The sequence below is a fragment of the Homo sapiens genome, chromosome 22 (assembly GCF_000001405.40).
Source record: "Homo sapiens chromosome 22, GRCh38.p14 Primary Assembly".
NCBI lineage: Eukaryota > Metazoa > Chordata > Mammalia > Primates > Hominidae > Homo > Homo sapiens.
The window spans coordinates 30,079,519-30,100,703 of record NC_000022.11 but is presented as its reverse complement, the minus strand read 5'-3'; the positions used below and the strand labels follow the sequence as shown (position 1 = coordinate 30,100,703).

At 39.3% G+C, this 21,185-nt stretch overlaps 1 protein-coding gene and 1 long non-coding RNA gene across 11 annotated transcripts in view, besides 3 other annotated features; one reads left to right on the top strand and one right to left on the bottom strand.

Annotated features, from left to right (window-relative positions):
- HORMAD2 (HORMA domain containing 2) overlaps positions 1-21,185 on the bottom strand; it is a 129,725-nt gene that overhangs the window by 106,753 nt on the left and 1,787 nt on the right. For 3 of the 10 annotated variants that reach the window (XM_011529914.3, NM_152510.4, NM_001329458.2), the window contains exons 1-3: positions 20,213-20,240; positions 6,701-6,788; positions 1,711-1,852 (exon numbers count right to left, since the gene is read on the bottom strand). In XM_011529914.3, coding sequence (XP_011528216.1) covers positions 1,711-1,852; positions 6,701-6,751 — 193 coding nt within the window. In that variant the 5' untranslated portion in view covers positions 6,752-6,788; positions 20,213-20,240. Of the gene's footprint in view, positions 1-1,710; positions 1,853-6,700; positions 6,789-19,445; positions 19,491-19,970; positions 20,241-21,185 lie in introns of those variants that run through there. The other 7 variants (XM_047441154.1, XM_047441156.1, XM_047441157.1 and 4 more) reach the window with 5 other exon arrangements.
- Positions 20,087-20,784: an enhancer, noted in NCBI's record as "OCT4-H3K27ac-H3K4me1 hESC enhancer chr22:30475909-30476606 (GRCh37/hg19 assembly coordinates)". NCBI's record gives its function as "activates a minimal SCP1, AML or CMV promoter by ChIP-STARR-seq in primed H9 embryonic stem cells {active_cell/tissue: H9 hESC(primed)}" and the evidence as "EXISTENCE:reporter gene assay evidence [ECO:0000049][PMID:30033119]".
- Positions 20,170-20,249: an enhancer, noted in NCBI's record as "active region_18826". NCBI's record gives its function as "activates an Ori minimal core promoter by ATAC-STARR-seq in GM12878 lymphoblastoid cells {active_cell/tissue: GM12878}" and the evidence as "EXISTENCE:reporter gene assay evidence [ECO:0000049][PMID:35858748]".
- The window catches only part of HORMAD2-AS1 (HORMAD2 and MTMR3 antisense RNA 1), a 71,512-nt gene continuing 70,773 nt past the window's right edge, over positions 20,447-21,185 (top strand). Inside the window, exon 1 of the long non-coding RNA NR_110541.2 lies at positions 20,447-20,576. This is a non-coding gene — a long non-coding RNA (HORMAD2 and MTMR3 antisense RNA 1). The remainder of the gene's footprint in view (positions 20,577-21,185) is intronic.
- Positions 20,590-20,639: a silencer, noted in NCBI's record as "silent region_13601". NCBI's record gives its function as "represses an Ori minimal core promoter by ATAC-STARR-seq in GM12878 lymphoblastoid cells {active_cell/tissue: GM12878}" and the evidence as "EXISTENCE:reporter gene assay evidence [ECO:0000049][PMID:35858748]".

Here is a 21,185-nt window from a genome sequence, read left to right as displayed (position 1 = left end):
TATTAAACCTTTGTCAGATGGATAGATTGGAAACATTTTCTCCCATTCTGTATGTTTCCTGTTCACTCTGATGACAATTTCTTTTGCTGTGCAGAAGCTCTTTGGTTTAATTAGTTCCCATTTGTCTATTTTGGCTTTTGTTGCAATTGCTTTTGGTGCTTTAGTCATGAAGTCTTTGCCCATGCCTATGGCCTGAATGGTACTGCCTAGGTTTTCTTCTAGGGTTTTTATGGTTTTAGGTATTACATTTAAGTCTTTAATCCATCTTGAATTAATTTTTGTATAAGGTGTAAGGAAGGGGTCCAGTTTCGGTTTTCTGCGTATGGCTAGCCAGTTTTCCCAGCACCATTTATTAAATAGGGAATCCTTTACTCAATGCTTGTTTTTGTCAGGTTTGTCAAAGATCAGATGGTTGTAGATGTGTGGTGTTATTTCTGAGGCCTCTGTTCTGTTCCATTGGTCTATATATCTATTTTGGTAGCAGTACCATGCTGTTTTGGTTACTGTAGCCTTGTAGCATAATTTGAAGTCAGGTAGCATGATGCCTCCAGCTTTGTTCTTTTTGCTTAGGATTTTCTTGGCTATATGGGCTCCTTTTTGGTTCCATATGAAATTTAAAGTAGTTTCTTCTAATTCTGTGAAGAAAGTCAATGGTAGCTTGATGGGAATAACATTGAATCTATAATTTACTTTGGGCAGTATGGCCATTTTCATGATACACAATCCAGCTTTTTAAACAAATAAGATTTTTGAAAACTTGTTGAGTCCTAGGTACTTGGGTTTTTTGTTTTTGTTTTTGTTTTTGTTTGTTTTTCTGAGATGAAGTTTTGCTCTTGTCACCCAGGCTGGAGTGCAATGGCACGATCTTGGCTCATTGCAATATCTGTCTCCTGGGTTCAAGTGATTCTCCTGCCTCAGCCTCCCAAGTAGCTGGGATTACAGGTGCCCAGCATAATGCCCAACTAATTTTTGTATTTTTAGTAGAGACAGTGTTTCACCATGTTGGCCAGGCTGGTCTCGAACTCCTGAACTCAGGTGATCCACTCGCCTCGGCCTCCCAAAGTGTTGGGATTACAGGCATGAGCCACCATGCCTGGCTGGTACTTGTTTTTATAATAAGAGAAGAAAAGGGGCCAGAAACAGCTTGTAGTATAAGACAATAAGATGATAAGTTTAAGAGCACTGAAACAAAAGGAATGAAAGTAGAAGACCTGGCAATTGAGAAAAAAGCCAGAACTGATTAGAATAATAATTATTTTAATATCCATGTTAATCAACAAGTGAGTTTGGCTTTTTTATCCCCAGTATTTTTATATACGTTAACAGGGAGAAAAGTTTTTCACCTGGTTCCTTTGAACTTCCTCAATGCTAAAGTGTACCTTAAAGAATAAATTCAATTGAGGCACAACGTAGCGCAAATCTACAGCATTCAAATAGATTTTGATCTAGCTGTTGCTTTTATACTGGACTTGTCCAAACATTTCTTTTTTCTTCCATCTGTCACCTGGCGTCTAGCTAGGAACTAGTAATTCCTATAAGTAAAATCACTACACACAGTAAAATTAAAATGGAAAATGGATTAGCAAATTGGTCTTGAAGAACAGGCCCTTAAGTTGGAATTAGCACACTTTGTGAGACGTGAAAGGTTTATTCCTGCTAAATAGAGAAAGGGGCTACAACAGCCAAAGAGACTAGTTAGTTTAACTTTACCATCCAAATGGCGTTCTCCATAAGAGCTCTCTGGAAACAGGCCCCTTAGGTATGTTATACATGAGATGGAAGTAGCAAAAAGTTTCTTCACCATTTTCAATGACTCATGCTCATTAGTGATTTGGGATGGGAAAACTGTTTCCTGGAAAAACAACGGAGGTGAAAAAAGATTAGTATTATTTAATATATTCAGTTTAGCACATCATTACCACATATATGATGAAAAGATTTCTCAGGACTTCAAATTTGATATCTTTGAAGGTAATCAAAAAGAAATAGCGCTTTGAATATTACATTAAATTAGATCTTCATAGGCAAGGCAGAGCAGAAGGCAGAAACAATTACCCAAGTAATTCAAGACTAAAACAATTTATTTCACAATGATCCATGAAACTGGAGTTTTACTATGATTATATAATCTTCTTCCCTCTCATACACTCCTCAGACCCCGCTGCAATCTGGATTTTCCTCCTTTCCTTTCTAAACTATTCTCTCCAAAGTCACCAAGTACAATCCTATAGTTGACCTCTTCTCATTCCTCATAATATGTAACTTCTTTATATTATCTGACACTGTTACCCACATACTCTCTTTTCCTCTCCAAGGTGCCACAACACTACTTTGTTTTTTCACCTATCCGTACATATCTGTCTCAGTCTCTTTTATTTTTTCCAGTTGTTCTACTCTTTAAATATTGGTTATCCCCCAGGATTCTGTCTTCAGGCTTTTTCTCTTTTATAGCTGTCTTCTTGAATAATCTCATCTAGTTTCATAGCTTCAGCTACAGCCTATACAAAAAGGAATTCAGGTCCCTATTTCTGTTCTGAGTCCCAGTTCTATATTTTTATTTCCTGAACATCTGCACCTAAACCACTTTGTAGATCCCTTAAACTCAGTTTATCTCTGCCACCCCTGGCTAAAACCTGATCCCAAGTCTCATTCTCAGACTAGTGAATCAGCACTACTCCAGTCATCCAGGCTAGAAGCAGCTTCATCTTTGTCTTCTCTCTCCTTCATACCCCACTAAATTCTATTAATTCTCTCTAAAAGAGTTCTCAAATCTATTTTCTCCTTTCCCTGCTCACTGCCACTGGCTTGACCGAGGACATACTCAATTCTCTCCTTGATTACTGCAGTAGCCCCTTATCTCTTTGCTAACGATTCTTTCATTCAACCTGTCTTCCATATTGCCATCAGAATTAATTTTCAAGGATACAAATCTTATCATGATACTGCCAGTGTTCATCCAGGAGAGAGTTCAAGTACCTTAGAGTGGGATTTCAGAACTGTCAAAATCTTATTCTTGTTTAGCTCTCCTGCCTCATCTTGCACCCCTTCCTCCCTGCCCACACTCCCTTATTCTCTCCCATGCACTCTGCTGTCTAGCTATGTGGAATTGTGGCTATTCATCTACTATTCTACTGCCATGTTTTTCCATACTTTTGTGCTTTGCTTAAGCCAGAGGTCTGAGGAACACAAAGCTTCTGTAAGATGTCACATAGTGTTCTGTAAAAAGTATCAATACTAGGAATAGCTTCCTGCTAAATTTTATGTGTGTATATATATACAACATAGTAAACAAACTTAAATCATTGTTCTTAAATGATTAGATAGTCTTCCTTAAGAAATAGTGTGCCATAAAAGGAATGTGATAAGAGAGCGACTGATATATGAATTTGTGACTTTTGCTTCAGTATGTAAGGGGTGTCTACCAAGAGTAGAATATTTGCTGATGGATGGGTTGTGCCGGTATCTCAAATTATCATTTCAACATATGTTTGACATACTATGTTTATTGTATACACAATGTTTACTGTGTTTATGTATTAACATAAAAATAAAAATTTGATCTGTTTGTCATAATTATTCTGTGAGGCTGCTTTTTGCTGTTTTCTTTAAGCCAAGCACAAAATATGTCTCATGAATTCCAGCCGGTGTTGTGTCAATACATTATAATTTTAAAGCATTTTCTAAATATTAACAAATTAGACTATATTAAACTTTAGAACTTCATTCATTAATATACTATTAAGAGCATAGGTCTTACAAAGGACTCATATCCAGAATGTATAAAGAACTCCTAAAATTCTTTAAGAAAGACAATCAAATAGAAAAGTGTCTACTTGTGTGAAAATAGACAATAAAAGAGCATACCCAAATGACCAATAAACAAATGAAAAAGTGTTTAAACTTTATCAGGGAAGTGAGCATTAAAATCACAAGGAGGCCAGGGGTGGTGGCTCACACCTGCAATCCCAGCACTTTGGGAGGCTGGGGTGGGCGGATCACTTGAGGTCAGGAGTTCAAGACCAGCCTGGCCAACATGGTGAAACCCCCGTCTCTACTAAAAATACAAAAATTAGCCAGGTGTGGTAAAAGGCACCCATAATCCCAGCTACTTGGGAGGCTGAGGCAGGAGAAACACTTGAACCCTGGAGGCAGAGATCACAGTGAGCCAAGGTTGCACCACTCCAGCCTGGGTGACAGAGTGAGACTGTCAAAAAAAAAAAAATCACAATGAGAGAATACTACACACCCACCAAAATGGCTAAAAGTTTTAAAAAGGATGTAGAATAATAAAAACTCCTAAACACTGGTTGTGGGAGGGTAAATGGGCACAACCTCTTTGGAAAAGTGCTTGGCAGTATATAATAAAGCTAAATATACACATATCCTATGACTTATATTTTACTTATAGGTATACATCCAACACATATGCTTATATGTTCACTATAGGACATGAATTAGAGTATTCAGAAAAGCATTATTGTAATAGACCCATGCTGGAAACCACCCAAATGCTCATCAACAGTAGAATAAATAAAACTGGGGTATACGCCCCCAATGGAATACTATATAGCAATGAGAATGAATGATCTGTAACTATACTGAGTAATATAGATGACTCTCACACACAATGCTGAGCAAAAGAAACCAGATACAAATGAGTATTAGTATATGATTTCATTTATATAAAGTACAATAGCAGGTGAAACTAATCTATGCTGTTAGATGTCAAGATGGTGGTTTCTCTTGGTGGGGAGAGGTAATAATAACTAGAAGACAGCATGAGAGGGAGTGCTGGTAGTGTTCTGGTTTCTGATCTGGCTTCTGGCTTATAACAATGTGTTAAGTTCGTAAAAATTCATTTAGTTGTACACCTATGCATTATATGAATATATACTCCCAGTAAAAATGTTAAGTGTTTGCTGGTCAAATAAGTTTGGAAAATGTTGTCTTATGCAGTTCTTTCAGCCAGGCATGCTCTTTTTCCCATTTCCAAAGTATGAAAATCTTAATCCAAATATGCATTTAATCTTACTACATTCTAGGTACTGTTTTAGGTTCTGAGACATAGTAGTGAGCAAAACATATAAAAATCCTCTCCCTCGTGTGGCTTACATTCTGTATCACTCTTAATTCATACTACAAGGATAATACTTATTACCAGTTAATATAATCTTTGAAGGCGGAGTGCAGATAAAGTCTGACTTTTCCCAGCATAGCCAGGGGACATGGCTAACTCCACATGTCCCTAGGCTTTACCTAGACTCTAATGGCTCCAAAGCAGGTAAGCTGAACAATTTTTAAAAATCAAAGAAGCATTTTATGACATTAAAGCCTTTAGCAAACCTAATATCTGACCTAAATCAAGTGCCTAAATTTTGAAGATATTTTCATTTTACCAATAATCTGTATTTTCCAAAGATTATTAAAGTCATGTAAACTAAAAGGCACTAAAGTTTTAATTTTTCTGACAAAATATTTGATTTAAGTGTTTATTTTTCTTTAAGCCAATTAATTAACACTCTTTTATGTAAACACCATACATGCAACACATATAAATACACAGACAGAAGAAGACCCAGTAGTTGTAAGATTTTTCGATTGCCAGTTTTTAAGTTTCTTAATTGGATTACTGGCTTCAGGGTGGAGTCCTTGGAAAAACAGGCCCAGGAAAGCATGTAGTTTCTAGGGCCTAATAAACAGGCACAGATGGAAGGTATAAACAGATCCCCAAAATTAAGGGTCTCATTTTTATACTAGATCCTGGATCCCCAGAAAAAGAGAGAGATGTTATAGGAAAAGACAGTGCAATGCTTTTACCATGCATTTCACTGCAAGGCAGTCCAAAACCAGTCAGCCAATTTTGTAATCAGCCCATCTTATTTCTTATTCTGAGCCAAGGCATATGCTGGGTTTTCCTCAGGGAATTCTCTCCCCTCTACGCAAATTATCTTCATCATTCAAGGTCTGTCCACCTTCAGTCTTACCTCTTTCATGAGGAATATACAAACCATTCCAGTCCACATGAAATCTCTAAATAAATCCCTATAATTTGCATTGTCTTACTCTTTTTCACATATATATAAATCATATATCGCTTTGTATATTGACTTAACTCCTAACCAGATTATAAACTTTTGGAAGATGAAGATCATATTTTTGTATTTTATCAGTGAGTTACACAGTATAATGAATATTATACTACATAATATTTAGTCTCAATGAATAAACAAAGGATGCATTAATGAATGTCATGAGACAAACTAAACTATATGCCTGGCCCTGGGATGCTCCCCTAGACCTCCTAGCATCCAAGTTTCTCTCAGTGCTCTCCCCTTCTGTTCTTATAATTACACCATGGTGTGCAACACAAGTTTCCTAACACTTTAGGAAGTGAATGTCTAACCAAGAACCATTCTCTTTAAACATCTTTTTGTTTCTGATTTCTTTTACTCTAGAAGACCTAAATATATTACATAAACATGAAACAAGCACCCAGTAAGTAACTTTGTAGAAATTTATTTTAATTTTCTGGTCCTTGGTCTATTAGGCAGTTAAAATGTACACATACTCTCCCAGAATATTATGTGCCAATTAACTGATAAAACTGCTGCTTAAAAACACACACACAAAAGATTAAAATCATAATTCTGAACTAACTCACTAAATGGTCATTGATTTTCTTTTAATTCTTAACAAATACCTTAGAAGCCTTGTGTATTGTGATGCAGTGAGAAAGCTGAGCAGTGGCCATTGTAGGAATGTATCAGGATTATTTCAACAAGTCCAACCTATTAAAAAATAATTAATTAATTAGAGACCTTGCCAAATATAATGCTTCCTCTCTTACTCTGCCCAAAAATGAAACTGAAAAAGTCTAAAAGCAAACAAAAAATTAAAATCAAAGACAGTTAAGTATAAACTGTTTTCAAGATTGTTCAGTTCAGAGAGAAATTTACCAAGCTACATTTTGAAGAGCAAAGGAAGAATGAATGCTAAGATAATTCTATCAGGCTCTATCTAAACGATAAAATGAATTTGAGTTGAAAAAAGTACCTATTGTTAATTTTCCAAAGGAGAACTATATAATTAAAATTTGACCATACTCATTGGGAAATAAGTTTAATAAACATTTTTATCTATAATTTTGGCATAAGGTCTCTGGATGAATTTTTCCACCCACTCAATGAAAATTATAAGATTATTTATTTGTTCAAAAATATATTCAGAGGAGAAAATACATTGTAAATCACCTAGAGACTCAATATATATTATTAATCCTTGTTATTCCCTCAGAGTGTAACAATATAGCAAAGGCTCAAAAACATTTCTTGAACTAACTTCAGTTGTAACTTATTTGCAAATTCAACTCAGAAGTTAATGTTTATACTTCATACCCATTAAAATAGTTATTCATTCAACTAGCTGAAAAAGAAATCAAGAGAGAAATCTCATTTACAATACCTACCAAAAAAATTAGCTAGGAATAAATTTAAGAAAGTGAAAGATTGCTACAATGAAACTACAGAACACTGATGAAAGAAATTGAACAGAACACAAAAAGATGGAAAGGCATCCCGTATTCATTGATTAGAAGAATTAATATTGCTAAAATGATCATATTAATTACCCAAAACAATCTACAGATTCAAATGCAATCCCTGTCAAAATACCAATTACACTCTTCATAGAAACGGAAAAAAACTCCTAAAATTCCTATGGAACCACAAAAGACTCTGAACAGCTAAAGTAATTCTGAGCAAAAAGAACAAAGTTGGAGGCATCACATTACCTGGCTTTAAAATATACTACAAAGCTATAGTAACCAAAACAGCATGGCACTGGTATAAAAAGAGATACATAGACCAATGGAACAGAATAGAGAACCCAGAAATAAATCTGCCTATTTACAACCAGCTTATTTTTGACAAAGTCACCAAGAACATACATTGGGGAAAAGATACCCTTGTCAAAAAATGGTTCTGGAGAAACTGCATATCCACAGCAGAAGAATGAGAGACCCCTGTCTCTCACCATATACAAAAATAAACTCAAAATATGTTAAAGACTTAAATGTAAGGCTCAAAATTATAAAACACAGGAAAAATGCTTCAGGACATTGGTCTGGGTAAAGATTTTATGGGTAAGACTTCAAATGCACAGGTAACAAAACCAAAAATACACAAATGATATTATATCAAACTAAAAAGTTTCTACACAGCTAAGTAAATAACCAACAGAGTGAAGAGACAGCCTATAGAATGGGAGAAAACATTTGAAAACTATTCATCCAAGAAAGAATTAATATCCAGAATATACAAGAAGTGCAAGCAACTCAAAAGCCAAAAAAAAAAAAAAAAAGCAAAGGATCTGAATAGACATTTCTCAAAAGAAGGCATACAAATGGCTAATAAGTATATGAAAAAATGCTCAACATGATTAATCATCAGGGAAATGCAAATTGAAACCACAATGAGATATCATCTCCCCACAGTTAGAATGGCTATTATTAAAAGGACAAAAAATGGCCAGGCGAGGTGGCTCACACCTGTAATCCCAGCACTTTGGGAGGCCAAGGTGGGTGGATCACCTGAGGTCAAGAGTTTGAGACCAGTCTGGTGAAATCCTGTCTTTACTAAAAATACAAAAAAAAAAAAAAAAAATTAGCCAGGTGTGGTGGCATGCACCTGTAGTCCCAGCTTCTTGAGAGGCTGAGGCAGGAGAATCACTTGAACCGGGGAGGTGGAGGTTGCAGTTAGCCAAGATCTTGTCACTGCACTCCAGCCTGGGCAACAGAGCAAGACTCCATCTCAAAAAATGAAATGAAATAAAATAAAATAAAATAACAAAAAATAACGAATGCTGGCAAGGATGCAAAGAAAAGAAAATTCTTATACACTGTTGGTAAGAATGTAAATTAGTACAAGCATTATGGAAAACAGTATGGAAGGTCCTCAAAAATCTTAAAATAGAAACCATATAATCCAGCAATCCTACTATTGGGTATTTATCCAAAAGAAAAGAAATCAGTATATGGAAGAGATATCTATACCTCCATGTTTATTGCAGCACTATTCACAATAGCCAAGATATGGAATCAACCTAAGTGTCCATCAACAGATGAATGCATGAATAAAATATAGGCCGGGGTGGCAGCTCATGTCTGTAATCCCAGCACTTTGGGAGGTTGAGGCAGGCAGGTTGCTTGAGCCCAGGAGTTCAAGACCAGCCTAGGCAACATGGTGAAACCCTATCTGTACAAAAAATACGAAAATTAGCTGGGTGTGGTGGCACGCACCTATAGTCCCAGCTACTTGGGAAGCTAAGGTGGACTACTTGAGCCCAGGAGTTCAAGGCTGCAGTGCAGTGAGCCATGATTGCACCACTGCACTCCAGCCTGGGCAACAGAGCAAGACTCTGTCAAAAAAAAAAAAAAAAAAGAAAGAAAGAGAGAAAGAAAGAGAGAGAGAGAGAAAGAGAAAAAGAAAGAAAGGAAGGAAAGGATATATATACACAATGGAATATTATTCAGCCATTTAAAAAAGCATGAAATCTGTCATTCACAGCAACAGAGATTAACCTAGATGATATAATTTTAAGTGAAGTAAGTCAAGTACAGAAAGATAAATACCATGTGTTCTCACTCATCTGGGAGCTAAAACAGATGAGCTCTCAGAAGTAGTTATTAAAAGCTAGGAAGGGCAGCAGGGAGGAGGTTGGATAGGGAGAAGTTAGTTAATGGATATAAAATTACAGCTAGATAGGAGAATAAATTATATTGTTCTATAGCACTGTAGAGTGACCACAGTTAACAATGATTTATTGTATATTTTAAAATAGTTCAACACAAAGAATGATAAATGTTTGAATTGATGAATATGCTTTGACTTGACCATTACATATTGTATACATGTATCAAAATATCACTCTGTACCCCATAAATATGTACAATTACTGTGTGTCAATTAAAAATTTTATAAATGATTATTCAAAAATGGAAAATAGTAAGTTGGTAAGGATGTGGAGAAATTAAAACCCTTATGCATTGCTGGTGGGAATGAAAATGGTGCAGCCATTGTGGAAAATAGCAATGGCATTCCTCAAAAAGTTAAACAGAATTACCATATTATCTAGCATTTCCATCTCTAGGTATATATTCAAAAGAATTGAAACCAGGGACTCAAACAGATACTTGTACACCAATGCTCATAGCCACATAATTCATATTAGCCAAAAGATGGAAACAGTTCGAATGTCTATTAAAAGATGAATGGATAAACAAAATGTGGTATTTACAATGGAATATTACTCAATTGTTTTATTTGTTTGTTTTGTTTTGTTTTTGAGACGGGGTCTCCTTCTGTCACCCACAGTAGAGTGCAATGGCGTGATCTCGGCTCACTGCAACCTCCCGCTCCCAGGCTTAAATGATTCTCCCACCTCAGCCTCTCGAGTAGCTGGGACTACAAGCATTTGCCACCACACCTCGCTAATTTTTGTATTTTTTGTGGAGATGGGGTTTTGTCATGTTGCCCAGGCTGGTCTTGAATTCCTAGGTTCAGGCAATCCACCCGCCTCATCCTCCCAGTGTGCTGGGATTATAGGCATGAGCCACCACACCCGACCCCTATTCAATCTTAAAAAGGAATGAAGTTCTGATACATGCAACAATGTGAATAAATCTTGAAAACATTATGCTAAGTGAAAAGCCAGACATAAAAGGACAAATATTATATGATCCCACTTATATGAGGTACCTACAGTAGGCAAATTCACAGAGACAGAAAGTAGAATAGAGGTTACCAGGTGCTGGTGGGGTAGAAGGAATAAAGAGTTTAATAGGTATAGAGTTTCTGTTCACGATGATGAGAAGGTTTTAGAAATGGATAGTGATAATGGTTGCACAACATTGCAAATGTGCTTAGTGTCACTGAGTTGTACACTTAGAAAAGCTGAGGTGTTGAGTTTCATATTACAGTTTACCACAATAAAAAAGTTAATATTTAAAATACATCTAGTTTTCACCCTTATTGTTTTGTTGATATAAAAAAGAAGCAGCCGGGCATGGTGGCTCATGCCTGTAATCCCAGGACTTTGGGAGGCCAAGGCGGGTGGATCACGAGGTCAGGAGATCAAGACCATCCTGGCCAACATGGTGAAATCCCATCTCTACTAAAAATACAAAAATTAGACAGGCATAGTGGCAGGCGCCTATAGTCCCAGCTACTCAGGAGGCTGAGGCAGGAGAACGGCGTGAACCCGGGAGGTGGAGCTTGCAGTGAGCCAAGATTGCGCCACTGCACTCCAGCCTGGCCGACAGAGCCAGACTCCATCTCAAAAAAAAAAAAAAAGAAGCAGCAGCAAATTTTCCCTTTTCTTTACAAAGTCTTAATTTAATTTCAACTGGGGCTTCTTTTCAAGGTTTTATGAAGTTCTGACCAAAATACTTGTAAAATAACTTCTTTAAAGATATTCCATTCTGGATCACCAAGGATAGCCTGTGACCGGTTTTTGTGTATCCATTAATGCAAGATTCTTGAAGATTTTTCCCAAGAGGGCAGAATTATTTGCGAACACTGCCACAAGGTGGTGATAGAGATTATAAATAGGTGGTAATATTAAATTTCTTTCAAATTATTTCTTCAGAGGGGCACTAGGGGACACTCTTTTACAATATTTTATATATGAGACTGAAAACCACCAATAGTTCTTTAACCCTTAAAGATTCCAAGCTATCTTTACTTGATTTGAGACTATAACCTTCATATCTAATACATCAGTTGTCCCCCTTAAATTTCAAAAAATAAAATGGGAAACAAAGTAGCTCTAAGAGTTTAAGATCTAGTCCCAGCCCATTAAACCATAATACACTACCCACTACTGGGGTAGTTATTAGTCTTAGACACAATAAATAAGAGAAATCATGATTTTCTAGAATAGTTTTCTATATTAGTATAGAATACTAATATTAATAAAACTAATAAAACTTAATAAAACTTACTTTTTAATTTTTAAATTAATTTTTAAATTAACTTTTTTAATTAATAAAATTAATAAAACTAATAAAACTTACTTATTAAAACTTACTTAATAAAACTAAATAGTTTTCTAAATTAGTAGGGTTTTAAAAATTTCTCTATGATCATAGACATTCTGATGTCATTTCTAGGGAATCAAGCTCTGAAAATAGCATCAGCCAATTAGAACACAAGGCATTACTACATCCATATTTTTGCAATGTATGGATGGCCTAGATTAAATTAATATTACCATTGAAAACTCTGAGGCATTCAGGACACTTGCTATTGAGAAAGGATTCAAGCAGGTTAATATTAGCATTTGGTAAATTCCTTAGGAATTGACATTTATAAAAGTAAAATTAAATTTTATACATATATGTATATATGTGTATATATATGTATGTATATATGTGTGTATATATGTATATATGTGTGTATATGTATATATGTGTGTATATATGTATATATGTGTATATATGTATATATGTATACATAGGTATATATGTATATATGTATACATAGGTATACGTGTATACATATGTGTATATGTACACATGTGTACGTGTGTGTATATGTACACGTGTGTACGTGTGTGTATATGTACACGTGTGTACGTGTGTGTATATGTATACGTGTGTACGTGTGTATACACATATACAGATCTGTATATGTATATATGTATGTGTGTGTATATATATATGTATATATATAGAGAGAGAGAGAGAAATAACCAGCAGTATAATCTAGTAGAAAGAGCCTTTAGAGTTAAGGAACCTAAGTTCAAATTCTGACTCAGTTACCTAGCAGCTGGCATGGCCAGGCACAGTAGGAGATAACTGGATCATCTGGGCAGTTTCTCATGAATGGTTTAGCACTATACCCTCAGTGCAGTTCTTGCAATAGTAAGTGAGTGAGTTATTGCAAGATCTGGTTGTTTAAAGGTGTGTAGAACCTTTTTTTTTTTCCTCTCTCTCTCTCTCCTGCTTTGGCCATGTAAGATGTGCCTGCTTCTCCTTTGTCTTCTGCCATAATTGTAAGTTTCCTGAGGCCTCCTCAAAAGTCAGGCAGATGCTACCATGCTTTCTGTACAGCCTGTGGAACTGTGAGCCAATTAAACCTCTTTTCTTTATAAATTACCCAGTCTCAGAAATTTCTTTATAGCAATGCAAGAACAGACTAAAACAGAGCTCTTCTTTTTTACTTCTACCACACACTCCCTGGATGAACAAATACACTCCCATTGTTTCAAGTATAACTTCTATCTTATTGATTCTTATGTGTATATCCCCAACCCAGGTCTCTCTCAGAAGTTGCTGACTTGTTCTTCTAACTGATCATAAGACTGTTCCACCTTGATGTTCTCAACACATTTGAATGTGAATTATTTTCCCCAAAAACTTACTTCTGTTCCCTCGCTCAGTGAATGACATCATCACATACCTAGTTGCTCAAGCACAAAATCTGTGACTCAACCTTAATCCCTTCCTCGTTCCCATGTTCCATCACCTTAATATTTCTCAAATGTAGGCCAGGCGCAGTGGCTCACGCCTGTAATCCCAGGACTTTGGGAGGCTGAGGTGGGCGGATCACCTGAGGTCAGGAGTTCAAGACCAGCCTGACCAACATGGAGAAACCCCATCTCTACTGAAAATACAAAATTAGCTGGGCGTGGTGGCACATGCTTGACCAACATGGAGAAACCCCATCTCTACTAAAAATACAAAATTAGCTGGGCGTAGTGGCACATGCCTGTAATCCCAGCTACTTGGGAGGCTGAGGCAGGAGAATCGCTTGAACCCAGTAGATGGAGGTTGCAGTGAGCCAAGATCACGCCATTGCATTCCAGCCTGGGCAACAAGAGTGAAACCCTGTCCCCCTGCACATACATATATATATATATATCTCAAATGTGTCCAACTCCTCACTTTAGCCAGGTTGTTGTCATCTCTACTTTAAATCAACCAGTCTCATCTTTTGCCTGTACTGCTGCAACCACCAATTTCCTGTCACTGGTATTCTCCTTCTCCAGTCTGTTCTGTATATTGCAGCCAGAGTTTTTAAATTACAAACTCGACTATGCATTTTCCCAGATTGAAATACTTCAATGGCTCCCCACTACTCTCAGGATAAAATCTAAAACTCTTACCATGGCTTCAAGATTTGACTCATGCCTCCCTAGCCTCAGCTCTATTTTCCCTTATACTTTTATTTACCAGCTATTCTTACCTTCTTTACCCCAAAGGACTATATTCCTTCTAGCTCTCAGGATTTTGCAATATTCCTTCTGCCTGAAACATCCTCCTCCATTCCCAATTCCTACTCATCTCATAGATATGGTGTATTAGTCCATTCTTGCATTGCTATAAAGAACTACCTAAGACTGGGTAATTTATAAAGAAAGGGGTTTAAATGACTTACAGTTATGCAGGCTACACAGGAAGCATAGCTGGGGAGACCTCAGGAAACTTACAACCATGGCAGAAGGGGAAGGAGAAGGAGGCATGTTTTACACGGCCAGAGAAGGAGGAAGAGAGGGAAAGGGGAGGTGCTACACACTTTTAAACAACCAGATCTCATGAGAACTCATAATTACAAGAACAGCAAGTGGGAAATCTACCCCCATGATCCAGTCAACCCCCACCAGGGCCCTCCTCCAACACTGGGGATTACAATTTGACATGAGATTTGGGTGGAGACATAAATCCAAACCATATCATATGGCTTAGTAAAATTTCCTTAAGGGATGACTTCCTAATTCCCACTACCACTATTACGAAGTCTGGGTTATGTGCCCTTTGCAATATATACTGTACCATAGTTGTCTTTAAGTATCCCCTGACCTACTGTGAGCTAACATGAGAGCAAAATTGTGTCTAGCTGTTGTGTCAGTCTAGCTCATTCTTTATATTTTAAAGTTTTATTTATTTATTTATTGAAAAGGACTCTCACTGTGTCACCCAGGTGAAGTGCAGTGGTATAATATCAGCTTACTGCAACCTCTGTTTCCAGGGTTCAAGCCATTCTCCTGCCTCAGCGTCCTGAGTAGCTGGGATTACAGGTGTGTGCCACCACATCCAGCTAATTTTTGTATTTTTAGTAGAGATGGGGTTTAGCCATGTTGGCCAGGCTGGTCTAGAACCCCTGACCTCAAGTGATCTGCCCACTTTGGCCTCCCAAAGTGCTGGGATTACAGGCATGAGCCACTGCACCCAGCCTTTAAAGTTTTTTTAATAGGTATAATTCAGTGGGTTTTAGTATATTCACAAAATTCTGCAACCATCTGTTTAATATAGTATAAACCATCAATTTAGTGTATTCACAAAATAATGCAAACACTATCAATTCCAGAACATTTTCATCACCCCTAAAAGAAATCCCATGCCTATTAGCAGTCACTCCTATTCTCTCCTTTCCCCAGCCGCTGGAAACCACTAACCTACCTTTCATCTTTATGAAATTGCCTATTCTGAACATTACATATAAATGAAACCATACAATATGTGATCTTTTGTGTCTTGTTTAGCTCATTTTTTTTTTTTTTGAGACGGAGTCTGGCTCTGTTGCCCAGGCTGGAGTGCAGTGGCGCAATCTCGGCTCACTGCAAGACCCACCTCCCGGGTTCATGCCACCCTCCTGCCTCAGCCTCCCGAGTAGCTGGGACTACAGGCGACTGCCACCATGCTTGGCTAATTTTTTCGTATTTTTAGTAGAGACGGGGTTTCACCATGTTAGCGACGATGGTCTCGAACTCCTGACCTCATGATCCGCCCGCCTCGGCCTCCCAAATTGCTGGGATTACAGGCGTGAGCCACCACGCCTGGCCGTTTAGCTCATTCTTGAACTCTCAGCATCATCACAGTACTGGAACTAAATAGGTACTCAATAAATATTTGCTGAGGCTGGGCATGGTGGCTCACACCTGTAATCTCAGTATTTTGGGAGGTCACGGTGGGATGGATCACTTGAGGTCAGCAGTTCAAGACCAGCCTGGCCAACATGGTGAAGCCCTGTCTCTACTTTAAAAATAAATAAATAAGTAAAAAATAAAAAAAATTAAAAACCTAACTTAACTAACTAAATATTTGCTGAGTCAACAGAGAAGAACTATAGGAACAAGGAATAATTAAGAGTCTAGAAAAATACCACAAAATTTTAAAGGTAGAAGAAACTTTAAATATCATTGCTATGGTTTGAATGTGTATCCCAAAGTTCATATTTTGGAAGCTTAATCCTCAATGCAAGTGTTGAGAGTTGGGGCCTTTAAGAGGTGATTAGGTGCCTTCATGAATGGATTAATATTGTTACCCCAGGAGCAGGTTCATTATCAGGAGAGTGGATTTGTTATAAAAGCAAGTTTGGCACACTCACTCTCTCTCTCCTTGCTCTCTCTGTCTTACCAGGTGATGCCTTCCTCCATGTTATGACACAGCAAGAAGGTCCTTACAAGATGCATATCCTTGTTCTTGGACTTCCCAGCCTCCAGAATCATAAGCCAATACATGTCTGCTCTTTTTAGTTACCCAGCCTCAGGTATTGTTACAGCAGTACAAACTGGACTAAGACAGTAATTTAGTCCAAATATCTAATTTTCTAGATGGGGAATTCAAAATCTAGACTTACCCGGGATTAGTCAGCCACTCAGTAACAGAACTGAGACTAAAACTCAACAAGTCTGGCTCACAATTTAAAAGTTTTTCCAGACTGACTCTCCAAAATGAAATTCTCCTTTGCTTTCATTCTATCTAATATGATGTACTACCAGGGCCTCCTTAGTTCTTCGGCTTGCCTACTTATTTCTAAACATGGGAGGGTCTCTTTCTAGTGTTCTAGCATGAGCTTGCTTCAGGAAGGCAAAAAGATCTAAATTATTTTTTCAAAAAACATGGTGAAACTTCGTCTCTACTAAAACTGGGCATGGTGGTGGGTGCCTGTAATCCCAGCTACTTGAGAGGCTGAGGCAGGAGAATTGCTTGAACCCGGGAGGTGGAGGTTGCAGTGAGCCGAGATTGCACCATTGCACTCCAGCCTGGGCAACAAGAGTGAAACTCCGTCTCAAAAAAAAAGCCAGACTCCTTTCAGCCTCTAATTATTCTGTTGCTACTGTTTTCCCTTTGAGCAGGTGTTTTGTGGAGGTCTTCTATTTAAGTACAAACCCTGCTTAATTTTAAAAGCTCACAAGTTCACAGGAGGTATGACTCTAGAGAGCATGCATTCTCAGAGAATAGGTCTGATTTTTTCTATGTGTTATCCCTTTGTTCAGGCTCATTATCTAAAAACCTAGAAGAGATTTCATAACTATGGATTTTAAGAACTGAAAGCTAACTTTGCAATGTCATTCTCTTATATATTTGTTTGCAAATTAGATCCACACATATTTGAAACTTCACAGTTCATCAATACCATTCCCTCTTCTGTTTTTGAGACAAGGTCTTACTCTGTTTACCCAGGCAGGAATGCAGTGGCGCAATCTTGGCTCACTGCAACCTCGACCTCCTGGGCTCAAGTGATCCTCCCACCTCAGCCTCCTAAGTAGCTAGTACTAGAGGCCATGTGCCACCACACTCAGCAAATTTTATTTTTGGTAGAGATGAGGTCTCACTATGTTACCCAGGCTGGTTTTGAACTTCTGGGCTCAAGCAATACTCCTTTCTTAGCCTCCCAAAGTGCTGGGATTATAAGTGTGAGCCACTGCAACTGACCCTCACTCTTACATTTGATATGTCTACTTTGTGACAAGGATTATGATCTTCTTGAGAAAGAGGCAATATTTCTATGCTCTTTCTGGTAAAGATTCACTCTAGGCTTACCTCTTGACCTATATCTCAATTGCCCTATTTTTTTTGTTGTTGTGTATTCATTTTCTTTTCTTTTCTTTTCTTTTTTTTTTTTTTGAGACAGAGTAAAGTGCGGTGGCATGATCTGTCACCTAGGCTGGCATAATCACAGCTCATTGCAACCTCAAACTTCTGGGCTCAAGTGATCCTCCTATCTCAGCCTTCCAAGTAGCTGAGACTATATGCATGCACCACCATGCCCTGCTAATTTTTAAAAATTTTTTATTTTTGTAGAGTTGGGCGGGCGGGTGGAGGGGGAGGTCTCACTATGTTGCCCAGACTGGCCTCGAACTCTTGGCCTCTCAAAGTTTTGGGATTACACATATGAGACACCACACCACGCCTTCAATTGCCCTATTTTATATGGTGGCACAATTACTTCCTATTTTACCCCTACTATGTGTGAGTCCAAGATTCACATAAAGATTAGCCAGCTGCTGTTTAGTTTACTAAGGCCTAAACCACTTTTTTAACCATTCCAAGTGAAGCAAAAGCCAAAGTTTTATTACATTTTCCCAAATATAATCATAGTTGATTTATGAAGGCTCTCTACCCATCTTTCTCAATCTTCAAAAACCGTTTTTTACAAGAAAATCCCTTTTCTATCAGGTGAACACTATCCAATAGCTGGATTCTGAAATGTAACTATATTACCTTCCTTACACATGCATGTTGTTAAGAATGGCTTTACTCAAAAGAAGTGTACGTTAACATAAATGGGTTCAATAGATTCCTAAAGCTGGAAGGGAGCACAGACATCTTCCAACCCCTTTGATTTAAAGAAGATCCAATTCTGTGGAGGAAGAATCTTTTTTTCAGCAAATGATGCTGAAACAAAAGGACATCTGGAGGGTGGGGGGAAGAACAGAGAATTAAAAGAAACTTAACCTAAATCTCACACTGTATACAAATATTAATGCAAAATGGATCATGGATTTAAACCTAAACATAAAACTATAAAGAAAAGGGGCCAGGTGCAGTGGCTCACACCTGTAATCCCAGCACTCTGGGAGGCCGAGGTGGGAGGATCACGAGGTCAAGAGATCGAGACTATCCTGGCCAACATGGTGAAACCCTGTCTCTACTAAAAATAAAAAAAAATAAAAAAATTTAGCTGGGCGTGGTGGTGCACACCTGTAGTCCCAGCTACATGGGAGGCTGAGGCAGGGGAATCGCTTGAACCCGAGAGGTGGAGGTTGCAGTGAGCTGAGATTGCGTCACTGCACTCCAGCCTGGCACAGAGCTCGACTCCATCTCACAAAAAAAAAAGAAAAAAGAAAAGGAAAGTGAGGCTAAGCAAGGGAACTTGGTTTGCCAAAGTTCGCCCAATTACTTAGACCTTCCAACAGAGCTTGCTTCAATAAATTATTCACCATTTTAACAAATTCCATTTGGCCCTGGTAATTCCCCTACCTGTGCTCATTCAGAGAAAATGGCTTCCACTATATTAATTGAGTATTTGTTCATGCTCTTTTGACTTTTTAATATCTTTTTCATGCTATTTCAATTATTCATTCATTCAACATCTACGAGGCAACTACAATGTGCCAGGCAACAACATGCAGGATTACGAGATGTAAAATACTGTTCCTACCTCAACAGATTGATGGTCCAATGGAGGAGAAATTAGATTATGATCCTGCTGAGATTAAAAACCCCTTTAGGGGCCAGAACCACCCCTCATTTCTACCAGCTGAGTACACGATGTACTGCACAGCCTGTCCAGTGCCCTGCGTACTCGGACACATTTTGGCGATTGGCTAATCCTGAGGTTCAAGACTCTCTCCCTCTGTTTAGGGAACTAAAGTCCATAGGGATTAATTGGCAAATCCTCACTAAAGTGAAAGGGGAGCTGAGGTCAAGGGGGGCGGGGTGTCTTGTCCCCACCTCTCTCACCTCTTGGCCTGTACCAGGCATCGATCCTGGCAGAAAACCTCAATGGCTGGGGAGAATCTGACCCAGGTAAGATAAACTTCCCCAAAGCTCCACCACACACGGCCCCCTCCAATGTCGGGCACAGACATCGTCTGCCCTGCCAGCCTCATCATGGCTCATTATGGCTGCTGCTTGCTCAGCAAGTTTGATTTCATGTCCAGAAAAATCTGAATTTCAAAACTACCTGGGTGCTCTCTGTCCAGTTCTGGGGGAAATCGCCTCCCTTTTGCCTTCCTCCTCAGCCCCCTGCCCTCCCGATTCTCTTCACAGTACTTTAGGCCCTCACGAAATATGATACTTTCAAATCCAACTTAAAGCCTTAAGTAATAAGAAAAGAAAAAAAAATTGTTTTTTGACATAAAGACAGAACTAACAACGCCCGAGTGCCCTCTCTGGGCCGAGACCTCGCGTCTCAACAGCCCTCACCTCAGCTCGTCGACGCTTCCCTCCCACCGGGGGTCAACGGCCTTTTCCGGCCCAAACCCGCTCCTCGGCTCATGAATAGTCAACGAGGCCTTTCTGGGCGGGACCAGAGGTTTCCTCATGAATAATTCATGACCCGTCCACGGCTAGCCTGGGCGACCGGCCTCGCTAGACTTCATGAATATGCAAAGCAGGGGCGAACGGCGGCTAGCCGGCCCCTAGCCCGCCCGGCCCCTCAGCAGCCGCCTCTCAGCCACGGGCTGCACACTGACCCGACGCGACCTTCGGTCAGGGGCCGCCAGCCTGGGCCACCTATACAACGACAGCCTGCTCCGGGGCTTCCTGAGGAGGTGCCTGCCCCGCCGAGGTTAGGACCCGAGGGACCGTGGGGCTCGGGCGGGCCAGGACGCCAGGCCGGCGGGTCCCAGAGAGGTCTGAGGCGGGCGCGGGGCGGCGTAGGGGAGGGAAGCGAGAGCCTGGGGGGCCCAGGGACCCGAGTTAGAAGAAGGCCCGAGAAGTGCGGCGCGGTGGCTCCACCTGGGATCCCAGCACTCTGGGAGGCTGAGGCGGGCGCGTCACTTGAGGTCAGGAATTCGAGACCAGCCTGGCCAACATGTTGAAAACCCGTCTCTACAAAAAATACAAAAATTAGCTGGGCGTGGTGGCGCGCGCCTGTAGTCCCAGCTACTTGGGAAGCTGAGGCACGAGAATCGCTTGAGCCCAGGAGGCTGAGGTTGCAGTGAGCCGAGATTCCGCCATTGCACTCCAGCCTGGGCGACAGAGCGAGACTCCGTCTCAAAAAAATTTTAAAAAGTACAAAAATTAGCTGGGCCACCTGACGTGCGCCTGTAGTCCCAGCTGCTCGGGAGGCTGAGGTAGGAGGATCGCTTGAGCCGGGGAGTTTGAGGTTGCAGTGAGCCAAGATCGTACCATTGCACTCCAGCCTGGGCAACAGAGGGAGACCCTGTCTCAAAAA